The sequence below is a fragment of the Homo sapiens genome, chromosome 1 (genome assembly GCF_000001405.40).
Source record: "Homo sapiens chromosome 1, GRCh38.p14 Primary Assembly".
NCBI classification, from domain to species: domain Eukaryota; kingdom Metazoa; phylum Chordata; class Mammalia; order Primates; family Hominidae; genus Homo; species Homo sapiens.
Genome location: NC_000001.11, coordinates 167646459 through 167659520, shown reverse-complemented (window position 1 = coordinate 167659520; position 13062 = coordinate 167646459). Strand labels below are relative to the sequence as shown.

Sequence of the window (13062 nt, the reverse complement as noted above, 5' to 3'; positions counted from 1 at the left end):
GATGCAGTGGCAGAGTGTAGAGTGTGCCCAAAAAGGTGTTAAAATAAATGTTTCCCTTTTTTAACTAAGGGAAAACTCCCAGAAACTATTAAAATTTTAAAACCCCAGGAAACAAAACCTCCTGACTATAAAGGAAAATGTAAAACTTATTTACATATAGAAATACTATCAAAGAAGTAAAGAGAAAACTAGAGACCTGGAAAAGTATTCTAACACAGATGAAAATGAGGTAATGTCTGTTATATAAAGCACTCTCGCATAATGACAGGAACAATACATAACAAAGGATATAAATAGGCAATTCATAGAAAAGCAAATTCAAAACGCCAATCAACATAAAAAGATGCTCAAACTTACGATAGTACTTGTCAGGGAAATGCAAGTTAAATTAACACTAAGATTTCTTTTTATGCTTATCAGATGATGGGCGGTGGGAAGGAGAGGGAGAGAGAGAGGAGGGAAAATAGCAATTGCGGTTGGGGAAATGGAGATAAGGAACCCTCATATATTGATATATTGCTGGAGTAAATGTGACTTGTTACAGCCTTTTGGGAAAGTAATCTGGCAACATCGATTAAATTAGATTACACAAACCCTTCAGCTCACCCTACACTCCTGAGAATCTACCCCATAGACATAAATGCTAGCGTACACAGCCATGGGGGCTAACTGCAGTACTGTTTACAGCAGCAAAACACTAGAGACAAAAAAAAAATACCATAAAAAGGGAAATGGTTTATGGCCCATCCACATAACAGGTTATTAGGAAACCATTAAAAAGAATGAACTAGGCCAGGCATGGTGACTCATGCTTGTAATCCCAGCACTTTGGGAGGCCGAGGAGGGTGGATCATTTGAGGTCAGGAGTTCTAGGCCAGCCTGGCCAATATGGTGGAACTCCGTCTCTCCAAAAAAAAGAAAAAAAAAATTAACCAGGCGTGGTGGCACGTGCCTGTAATCCCAGTTACTCAGGAGGCTGAGGCAGGAGAATTGCTTGAACCCAGGAGGCGGAGGTTGCAGAGAGCCAAGATTGCACCATTGCACTCCAGTCTGGGCAACAGAGCGAGACTTCATCTCAAAAAACAAACAAACAAACAACAACAACAAAAAAACTCCAACTTCCAGGAAAAATTGTAAAGTGAGAATTGTAAGATGCAGATAAGTTTATATAACACTAGTTTTATAAATCAACAACCAGAAAACTTACCCCTTGTGTGTGTATCTCTATGTACACATATGCTCACAATGTATATGTAATTTTTTATATAGTTATGTGAATGTAAAGTATCCTACAGAAAGGTATATGTGAAGTTTCTGGAGGCTGGACACAGGGAGGGGGGCTGATCTGGTGGAAGCAAACCAAAAGAAAAGCACTGCTGCATAAACCCAGTGTGTCTCATACCATCTCAGTTATGTAAAAGTGTGTGTAGCCAGGTGTGGTGGTGCACACCTGTAGTCCCAGTTACTCGAGAGACTGAGGCAGGAGGATCACTTGAGCTCAGGAGCTTGAGGCTGCAGTGAGCTAGGATCGCACCACTGCACTCCAGCCTGGGTGACAGAGTGAGACCCTGTCTCTAAAAAATTAAAACAAAAATAAAACGTGCATGTGTGTGTGTGTGTGTGTGTGTGCATGAGTAAACTAGAACTGATTTTGTAGGGCTGTCCACGATATATTTTCAAGGAAAAGGAAGCAAGTTGTCAAGATATATAATATGGAAAACATCAAATAAAGAAAAAAAATTTTAATGCTGAAATGAGAATTTTAAGCTCTGCTCTCCAGGACGTCTGATTTGAGCAGGGGAACAAATACCTGGAAAACAACGCTGCAGTGAGCAGTCCATCTGCTCAGCATATCAAAACCAAGTCCTGGGTGTCTGGGGACTGGGCACAGATGCCCAGAGGGGAGGGGAGGAAGGAGGTGAAATTACTAATAATCCCATAAGGATATTTCATTACTAAATTTAAATGTATGCACCTTGAAGCTGTTTTTAGGAAGTATGAGGCTTACCAAAATTTAGGTCAATTTGCCCCATTTGCAGCCAGCCCTAAACATATTTTTAAAAATGCTGTCCCTTTGCTATTGGCAACTGCTTTCTGCTCAAGCAAATGATCAATCTGAAGCCAAAATGGGCCCTGTCATCTCAGCATATACTCTTAAAAATCCAAATCACAGGACAAAAGAAAGAGAATGGGAACATAGGTGATTTTCTTTAGGCCCCACACCCCTGATTTTCTGTAGGTCTTGGACAAACAAGCATAGATCCATCTATATCCCTGGTGATAAACAGATTGTATCTCCAAAGGAGTCATGTATTCACCAGTTTCGAAAAAAACCAGCAGGACAGGAATCAACATCTATAGATTGAGTGCTTACTATGTGCAAGGCACATCATGGACACTGGCTCACTTAATCCTCTTACTTGCCCTATGAAGTAGATATTATTGTATTATCAGTCCCATCTAACAGGGAAGCATAGAGATAAAGTGGCTTTCCCAACCAGGGTCACATGCTGGCATAGTGAAGGTGGGTTCAAAATGTGTCCCAGTCTGACTCTTACCAAGACACAGCTATCCTCCCTTCTATGAACTCTCTTTCTACTCTGTGTCAGTGATGTAAATTCTGAACAGCAGCTCCTATTTTGAGACTGCAGCTTGACTCTTGGGAGCAATGACCCCCTTTAGAGCAGATGGAAAAGGGAGAGCTTCCCAATGTGCAAGACCCATTTTCATCCAGGCCCAGCTTTGTAGCTTGTTTCCATGCCTCCCTCTCCCATCATTTAGAGGAGGCGTTGCTAACTCCAGTGCCTTTAGATGGTGGGCAGGCAATGTAAATGACTATGTGGAAGGCGTCCTGTCCTGTCCCCATCCAAATGAATGGAGCTGCTGTTCCTCAGCTCTAGCCCACTGTCTACCTGTGTTACATTGGGTCATTTTTCAAAAGATCATTCAAGGCCCAGTGTCACCAAATGATCTGATTTTTCAAAACAAGATTAAAATTCAGATAAAATGCAATCTATTGATTTTAAAAATTTGCTCAATTAAAAAAGGAAAACAAAGAAGAACCTCAATAGTGGAGAAAATGTTTGCCTGCTGCATTTTATTCCAGTAAAAGCATTCCATTTGCCCGACAAGGAGGTGTCTCTTGGTTTAATATATTAATTTCTTTTTAATTATTATATGCATATCATTATACCATTGTTCTTACTATGAAATAATATCAAAGGTATCATTACCTCCTCACTGAATTCTAGGGAGGATTATGTCATAGAACTCGAGACAGGTTGAAAAGACCTGGGTTCAAGTCCTCCGCTTGCGCCTCAGCAGCTACTCAACCCCTTAACCATCCTGAGCCGTAGTTTCTTAAATGAGTCCACAATACCCACCTCACAGAATGTCTGTGAGGGTTTTAAAAGATAGGCTGTATAATTAAAATATTCAATAAATATTTGTTCTGTTGCTTCTAAAAGACAGATGTGAGGCTCCATAAATCCATGTATATTGTAAACAGATACATTTAGAGAGATTATGTTGTTTAACTAATAGTTTCTTCACTTTGTAAGAGGATTTCCCATAATGGGCTTCTCTGGTGCAAGTAGAACATGGTGTTTTTCCCAAAGTTTTAGTTTATGTATAACATTTTTTCTTGCCTAAATGAACAAGTATTCTGCCTTTTCAATAGCGAAGGCATCCTCACGGGTTCTACAGGGCTGTCATCTCTGGTTGGGATGGGAGAGTTGTCTTATGTATGAGAAGCAAAGATTCTATTGGAGCTGCCTAGCAGTAGCTAGGAACTCAACAACCACAGAGTATTGTTGGAGACCAAGGGCTTCCTGCTCTCCTAATCTCCACTTTTGTACCTCTTATCAGCTGGTATTAAGAGAGAGCCCTGCCTTGCCCCCCAGGGTGACTGGTGGAGGGCACAGAGCAGGTTATGCAGCAGTGGTGTGTTCCCTTCACCTTGCCCAGAGGGGGTTTGGGATGGCACACGCAGGTCATAGCAGGGAGACTTTTTGATAATCTCAGGAACAAAGCTGATTATGTGACGAGCTCTGTCCTTTCTGACAGCAACACCATAGGAAACACCTGTAGACAGCAGGAAACTAGAGGAATTAAAAATATCTCCCTGATCCCTAAAAAATAAAAGAGGAGAGAAAAAAATGGTCTCTTTTCTTCACAGGGAAAACAAACAAAGCGATATCTGGTTTGAGCCATTTCCTCTCTGCAAAGCACCTCTCTCCTGTGGGCCAACCCTCCCCAGGCAGAGATGGGCCTGGACCAGACGCTTTAACAAGCTATCCGGATGCCTAAGGGTGATGTCAGTGAGGGTCTTGGGGCAGGTTCCAAGTGTCTAAACTTAAGATTTCTTTTGCAGGAGGGAGGTTTGGGGAAGCTGAGCTCATTTCCTTCGGGAGAGGTGCAGCCTCCATCCAGCTTCGGAAACAAGAGGCCCTTGTACTCTTCCTCCACAGCCTTCTCAACCTCAGGAAGTCAGTCCCTGGGAGCCATGAAGTGCAGCAATGACAGGCCCATCTGGAGAAGACATGACGGCTGGGTCTGCAGGACCCAGCTGAACTCAGGAGCAGATTTGGGGATGGCAATCAGGTAATGTCGGATTCTGTCTCCCCTGCCTTCTCACATCCAGTAGGTCACTAAGCCTAGTCCTGTCTTCTATATATATATTTCTGGTCTAGACTCTTCATCCTCACTGTAGTTACTGAACTTCAGGCTGCCATCACCTCTCTCTCGACTGTGGGAAGAGATTATGGTTACCTAACTGATTTCTTTCTGCTCTCCTTCCTCTTGTCTATTCTGCCCTCTCCTGCCCACATAACCTTTCTCAAATATAAGTCTCATCATGACTTTTCTTGGTTTATATACTACCTACTAAATAATCAAAACATCTTAGTAGAGAATATAAGGCCCCTGTCAATCTCTCCTTCCAGAAAGGTAACTATGGAGGCTAACACAGCACTATGTTGACTTCTGCTTAACCCTGGCTACAGGAATGCCTCTGAAATTTCCAGTTTAAGTATTGTTCCTTGTGTAAGAGCACAAACTTACTGTAAATCCTGCCCTTACATAAAATCATCCTTGATAAACTTGTACTGACTTAAATCCTGCCCTTAGATCAAATTCCTACCCATTCCCTCTGAAGCACGTGTACCCTTTCCCTATGGTATATAATCCCTGGTCTGAGGGGTAATGGTGCAGCCACCCAAGACCATACTTCTGTCCATAAGTTCCCCAGTAAAATCACCCTCCAATGGCACACTGGACTTCTTTGTCGCTCAGCTCCTTCTGCATTTGGGAGCCACTTTGTGTACATGGCCCTTTCACCAAACAGTAACACTTCCTCAATAATGGCCAACACTTATTAAACATTTACCATGTGCCCAATACCATGCTTAGTGCTTAACGAAGATGATCTCATTTGATCCTGAAAACTACCTTTTGAACCAGCCAAGCATTATGATCCGTATGCTGTAGAAGGTGGAATTGGAGCTCAGAGAAGCAAAATGACAAAGGTGACAAAGCTGCAGCAGAGCTGGGGTTTCAACCCTGGCAGTCCAATTCCAGGCCCCTGCTCTTCCCACCAGGGACTTCCTGCAGCCTTCTGAACCTATTACGCATTTTCCTGCCTCTGTGTCTGCAGATGCTGTTCTTCTACCTCAAATGCCTTGATCCTTATTCTCTTCACCTGGACAGTTCTTCTTCATCATCCAAGATCCAGCTCCTTCCTGCCTTCTTTAAGAAGCCTTCATGGACCTCTCCCCTGGGTTATGCCATCATAGCCACTCCATGCAATTCTCTCTCATAGCACTTATCTTGCTACATTGAACTGTCTGTCTCTCTAACAGAGTGTGAGCCCGCCTTGAAGGTAGGTACCCTAGCCTTTACCTTGACATCCCCATATTCCTAGCAGAGTGGCCAACACGTAATAGGTGTGCAATATTTGTGGGTTTAAAGACATCAGCCGCTGGATAAAGACTGAGGCTCTGTCTTCCGGATCAAGTAACTGGGCTACAATGCCTAGGCAGATCTCCATCTGTTAAATCAGATTAGCAGTCTGCCCAGTTCCTCAGGTGTTGAAATTTTAGAAACTCTCCCCCCAGGACTCTAACAGGAATCCAGAGTTGAGAACCACTGCTTTCATAAAAGCAGATTTTGTGGAGGCAAGGGCTGCCAGGGTAGAAGCTTGCTAAGGAAAATTACACAACATGTTTATACCTGCGAAATCTGTGTAAAATAAACACCAGAAAGCAACTAAAGGAGATAAACTTCCAAAGCATGGGAGAAAATACCAACCCAAAGTTATAGTTTAGGAAGACACATGACATTGACAGTCATTAATAAAATGCAAAGTAACTCTAAGGTATCGTTGCACAACTGTGAGATGGGCAGAAATATGTAATAATGATAAAAGGCTGCCAGGATTATGGCGAAAATTGTTCCCTTAAAAACTGCTGTTAGCATTACACTTTGATTAATTCTACTCTGTTTTGAGACAATAATCTGCAACTGTGTAACCAAAGCTCGAGAAGTCTTTGTTCTATTTTTAGAATATACTATAAGAAAATAAAGAAGAATGCAGTTTATTCAAAATTGCCTGTAGCAGTGGCATGACATAAAAGTGAAAAATTAGAAGCCATCTAAATACTGAATTTTGAAGACTAGTTGAAGTAAATTATGGATCACAAAGTAAATTCTGGAGCATAATAAAACACTATGCTACCATTACAAATGACGAATATCCAACATTTCTCACACATGGAGATGTGTATGAAACAAGAAAAAGGCTAAAAAAAAATCCCCCATGCTTTGTGCCCTGCGATGAGTCACATAACAGCAAATCAATACAAATTCACAAAGACTGGAGGTGCATTCGATGGGCAAAAAAGGTACTGTTCATTAGCTTTAAAGTTGTTTGACTTTCTTGTAATTAGAAAATAATATTTAGAAAATGTGTGTCCTCTGCTGGGGCAGCAACTGTTGGTCTGTCTCGAGGGAGCAGCAGGCCTGTTTCCAGCCTGACAACTGCTTGTATCTTTACCTAGGCCTCTGGCTGAAAATACACTCAAGTATCTGGGCCCGGTGAGGTTTCATCTTTAAAGGGCCCAGTTCCTTTTAAACTTAAATCCTCTCCAGGCTAGATGCTAAGAGGGGAATCATGGCTCCAGGAGGAATGAAAAGTGAACAGAGGCCAAGCGTGGTGGCTCACGCCTGTAATCCCAGCACTTTGGGAGGCTGAGCCTGGCAGATCACCTGAGGCCAGGAGTTTGAGACCACTCTGGCCAACATGGTGAAACCCCGTCTCTACTAAAAATACAAAAATTAGCCGGGCATGGTGGTGCATGCCTGTAATCCCAGCTACTCAGGAGGCTGAGGCAGGAGAATCGCTTGAACCCGGGTGGCAGAGATTGCAGTGAGCTGAGATCGTGCCACTGCACTCCAGCCTGGGTGACAGAGCAAGACTCTATCTCAAAAAAAAAAAAAAAAAAAAAGATGAACAGAGGCAGGAGCCTGGGCTGGGGGAACCTCCTCCCATCTCAGGCCTGGAAATAGGGCTTCTGCCCTTCTGTGGGAAAAGGCACTGTTAACTGTTTGGGTGAGAAAAAACACCTGGACCCAACCCCCAGATAAGAGTGGAGGTCAGGGAGGAACGCAGCCCCCCTCAAGAACAGCGGGGAGAAGGCCTATCAGAGGCTCATCCCACCCTGTTCCCTGCCATGCTTTCCCTGTATCTATACCCTCTTCTCCTCTGTCTTGGCTGGGAAGACCTAGCACCCCAAATGGAATAATCCTGGGAGGGTAAGAGCTCAACAGGAACAAAATTACTTGCAGGATGGCAGGGAACAGGCAGGGAGGTGTTGCAGGTAGAGGGACCAGCAGGAGCAACAGGCCAAGAAGATAGAAGGGCAGGAAGACACCTGGTCACAGTCCACAGCATTGCACTCTGTGTTAGAAAGGCGTGACATGAGTTTATCGACCCAGAAGGAGGTGACATAAGGGAAGCTGGGCCCAGGTCGGCGTGCGAGGAGAGTTGCATAGCAACAGTGCCAGCGCAGAATGCAGTGTGCCCTGGTGCCTGGGACACTCTTTCTAGGATGTGGCCCAGGGCAGGCATGACAGAAGGAGCCAGGCATGAAGGGAAAGGTGGGACCCAGAACTCCAGTACAGATCGGGTGTTCAGAGCCTGTGGCATTCTGTGGTTAGGTGTGGTGACTTCTGCTGTGACTTTTCCATTCTCACCCACAGCTGGAAGTGAGGCTCCAGGCTGGTGGCATTGTCCTGGGCTGAACTGTCTCCTGAAATTCCCATGTTGAAGCCCTAACCCCTAGTACCACAGAATGAGACTGTATTTGGAGGTAGGGTCTTCACAGAGGAAATTAAGTTAAAACAAGGTCATTACGATGGCCCTTGGTCCCACCTGGCTGGTGTCCTTATGAGAAGAGATGAGGACACAGACACGCACAGAGAGAAGACCACGTGAAGACACAGGGAGAAGATGGAGAGAGGCATCAGAGGGAGCCAGCACTGCTGACACCTCCGTCTCACATTTCTAGCCTCTCGAATTGCAAGGAAATAAAGTTTTGCTGTCTAAGCCATCCAGTCCATGGCACTTTGTTACAGCAGCGCTACCGAACTAATAAAGGCATTGAACTTGGCCTCGGGGAAGCTGCTTCTGGGGCTGCCCCCCTCCTTATCCCCTCCTTACCCCATCGTACCACGCACACTCCGCTCACCCCTCTCCCTACTCCATTGCTAACCTCACACGAGCAGAGCCATTGGCTCCACTCCCTGCTTTGTGCTTAATTGGTGCTTTTGTTTCTAAAACTCAAAATGCTTAACCAGAGAGAGGGCAGTCCCTACAGCTCCTGGACTTTGGCTTTGGCTGTGGCTGGAACAGAGATCTTGGCTGAAGGGATGGGCGGCGGTCCTTCTGGTTAGAGAGCACAGGCCTCCTGGTAGGCCTCTGGGGTACCAGGCCAGAGCTGGACCCAAACACTCGAGAGTCAGGAAATCCTGCCTACCCCCTGGCTGGTGGCTTCAAACACAGCCTCTGCTTCTGAGTGAGTGGTCTGGGCCTGGCCCAGCCTGGCCTCTCATCTGTAACAGCTGCTCAGAGCTTCAAAGGGAAGCCACAAGAAGAGGAGGAAGCAGAGGCCAGAGGGGAGGTGAACGCCTCACAGCTTGACCCTGCCCCCACCCCAACACACACACATCCAGGCTCCAGAGCACCTGCTTCTCTTTGAGGGACCAAGCTGTTTGCAGACATTTCCCCGTGTTTTCCAAAACACAGTGGAGACAACACCTTGCATCTGTGGAGTCTTTTATATTCTTTCCAAATCCTTAACTCTGAATTCATTATCTCATTTAATCCTCCCAATAAGCCAGGCAGGGATGAGATGATCATTCCGGTGAGGCCCCCAAATCTTGTGCCACTGATTCAAGATCCCACAGCAATTTAGTGATGGGATTTGGTCCAGAGCCTTGAACTCCTGTTGGCCACTCTGCCTAGCTTCCTCCTGCAACGTGTTAACACTTGCTTGGTTCCCCTCTGGCACACACATGGACACACACAGTGCATCTTTACAGCTGCCCCAGAGGCACAGGTGAGCTGTTTATTATTATGGACACAAGACACCCAGGCCCTGGTCTGTCTGTCCTTTAAATGTTATGCCTACACCCAGGCATCCCCATTAACACACAGGTCCCTTGGAACAATGCTGTCCTCTCCCTTAGTCGTCAGCTAGGCCTTAGATAGAAAATTCTTGTCCCTGTGAGGAAGGATCCTCCTCTCAAACTCCTTTTCTCTTTCTCTGCCCTCACAGTCCCTTCTGAAGCCCAGCTTTCCTGGTCTTTAGTCCATATGAATGACCAGCCTCCTAAAGGCCTCATACCATGCTCTCTCCAATCCATTCCTTGAACCACGGCCAGAGCCAACTTCCTGAAATTCAAGTCTGGTTATGTAACTTTCTGCCCCCCCATCACTCTGGGAATAAAACAAGTGGTGAGGCCAAGCTGTGGTTTTTGAGAGCTGTAACACCCCATAATATCATCAGCCACACCAAATACATATTCCGTTTTAGGCGAAAAGTATGCTTGTTATACAAATAACAGTGTCAAGGCTAGCCCCTTGGACTCTCCCCTTGCAATTAGACTGTAGCCCCAAGCGCCTTCTGTGTAGAAATCCCGGCACCTCCCGGATCAAGCCCTGAAGAGGTTCTCGAGGTCTTGCCTGGCTTACCAACTCAATCTGGTTGGATCCTGCACACTGTCCTCTTTCACGCTACTTCCTCCAGCTAGAACACCCTCCTCCTCACCCTTCAACTATCCATTCCCTCTTTGTCCTCCTGGATTGAGCTCAGGTTTCACTGCCTTTAAGAAGTCTTTCTTTCCCCCAGCCCCTCCCCACTCTGGGCAAGATACCTAGGTCATACTCAGATCTGTGTTCTGAGCACAGATCTCTTAGAATACTTAACCAAACTGTTTCAATCACTTGTTATCATTCTGACTGTCTTACCAGACTGCAACCTCCCTGAGGGCAGGATCCAAGTTTTATTACCTTTTGTGTCCAGAATTCCCAGCACAGAATCTGACACAGTGGGCACTTATTAAATATTTATTAAGCAAGCGAGTGACTGATTGCTTCTCCTCCCAAACTCAGGCCACTCTTGCTCAGGACTTCAAGGGATTTCCTAGAGGACCAGCCCATCATTCTCTAGAGTTCAGCCCAAACCCTCTGGTGTTCTGCCTCCATCCCTGACTGGTGGGTGAGATTCTTGGTGTCCTGGTGTCCCCGGGCTCACTGTTGCCCGCACCCCATCACTGGTATGTAACTTCCCCCTATCTGCAGCTGCTCCAGCGGGAACTACCATATGATTGCTTCATTTCCAGGGGGTCCACACCCCTTTCCTGTGCTCCCCTCCTATCCACTCCCTGCTGGTGGAGGGGGAACCACAGGACTTGCTGGAAGACCCTGGGAGGAAAGGGCTCTTTGCTAAACCGGCTTAGTGGAGGGCTCTCACCTCATGTCTCCTACCTGGCACATCTCGCTGAGCCTGCAATTGTACACACCAGGTACATACAGTGAGTCTTTGCAAAAGGAAGGAAGGCCAGGGCTGATTTGGCAATGCTTGTCAAGAGACACTCATATCCTTTGACCTAATAATTCCACTCCTGGGAATTGCTTCCAGAGAAATAATTCAAAAGAAGGAAAAAGATACATGTACTGTTTATAGCTATGTTATTTGTAATAAGGAGAAAGTAAAAGCAAATGCTGTGTTCCAAAATAGAAAAATGATTAAATAATTATGATATATTTGTATAACAGAGTGTCGTGAAGACATTTACAATGAAAATATGACTATGAGGAACAAGAATACTGACCTGGAAATAATGTTAAGAGAAAAGATAGAGTACAGAGTTGTATATACACTGATTAAAATTATGTAAGAATTATGCATTTGGCTAAAACTAATAAAGATGTGGAAAATTCGAAGTAGTTATATTATACAGGATTGTCTTTTTATTCCAACTTTAAAAAATAATAAAAGGGATATAATTGAGGATTTCAAGGAACAAAAAAAAGAAAAAGAAAATAGTTGTGTTAAGATGATGAATTTCAAATCTTAAAATATTTAAGATTAGCTTAATTTTAGCAAATTAGTATTTTAAAACAAAGTGACTAGAAACTAGAGAAAATGTCCTGAACAGTCCTAGGGTTTTCTAGAAAGAATTTTTATTGGTTGTGGTCTTATCGTTGTTTTGTTTTATTTTTGATATAGGGTCTTACTCTGTCACCCAGGCTGGAGTGCAGTGGTATGATCACAGCTCACTGCAGCCTCCATCTCCCAGGCTCAAGCAATCCTCCTGCCTCAGCCTCCTGAATAGCTGGGACTACAGGTGCACCACCATGCACTGCTTTTATTTTATTTATTTAATTAATTTAGTTAGTTATTTTAGAGATGAGGTCTCACTATGTTGCCCAGGCTGGTCTTGAACTTCTAGGCTCAAGCAATTCTCCTGCCTTAGCCTCCTGAATAACTGGGACTACAGGTAGACCACCATGCACTGCTATTTTTTTTTTTTTTGTAGCGATGGGGTCTCACTATGTTGCCCGGGCTGATCTTGAACTCCTGGGCTCAAGTAGTCCACCCTGCCTCAGCCTTCAAAGTGCTGAGATTACAGGTGTGAGCCACTGTGCTTGGCCCCTTGTTTTAAAAATAAGAACATGCCTCATGCAGGCCTTCCCAATGCATGGCTGTGGGTTATAAATTGCTTGCTGTGGAACCTGCAGCCTGATTAACACTAAAAGCACTTAAAGACATGTGCCTAATGGACAAGTAATTCTGTTGCCTCTACCCCCTTCTCTCTCTCTTTTTTTTTGAGATGGAGTTTCACTCTTTTTGCCCAGGCTGGAATGCAATGGTATGATCTCGGCTCACTGCAACCTCTGCCTCCCAGGTTCAAGCGATTCTCCTGCCACAGCCTCCCAAGTAGCTGGGATTACAGGCATGCACCACCATGCCAGGCTAACTTTTGTATTTTTAGTAGAGATGGGGTTTCACCATGTTGGTCAGGCTGGCCTTGAACTCCTGGCCTCAGGTGATCCACCCTCCTTGTCCTCCCAAAGTGCTGGGATTACAGGCATGAGCCACCGCAGTGGCCTCTACCTGCTTCTCTACCTGGCTAACACTACCCCAGGTTTTGGGCGATGCCCCAGAAGTTCCGAGGATCCTATTTCTCTTGAGGCATCTACTCCCTGAGCTTGAGAAAGAGCTCTGGAAAGGAGGGGGTCACACAAAGGAGAGTCCTGGGGATGACGCCTAGGCAGGATTAGAAACTCGAGCATCAGGACAATAGCTAATGCATGTGGGGCTTAAAACCTAGATGATGGGTTGATAGATGCAGCAAACCACCATGGCACATGTATATCTATGTAACAAACCTGCACGCATGTATCCCGGAACTTAAAGTAATATAAAAAGAAAAAGAAAAAGAAAAAGAAAAAAAACTCTAAGTCTCACACAAAATTGAGTCTTTCTACTTCTTTTTTTT

The 13062-nt window shown here is 44.8% G+C and overlaps 1 protein-coding gene across 3 annotated transcripts in view, besides 1 other annotated feature; it reads right to left on the bottom strand.

Moving 5' to 3' along the window:
• RCSD1 (RCSD domain containing 1) overlaps nucleotides 1-13062 on the bottom strand; it is a 78465-nt gene that overhangs the window by 49176 nt on the left and 16227 nt on the right. The gene's annotated exons all lie outside the window — the stretch shown is intronic.
• Nucleotides 2688-2882: a silencer, noted in NCBI's record as "fragment chr1:167625876-167626070 (GRCh37/hg19 assembly coordinates)". NCBI's record gives its function as "represses an EF-1alpha promoter that drives an FKBP-Casp9 reporter gene in an ReSE screen in K562 erythroleukemia cells {active_cell/tissue: K562}" and the evidence as "EXISTENCE:reporter gene assay evidence [ECO:0000049][PMID:32094911]".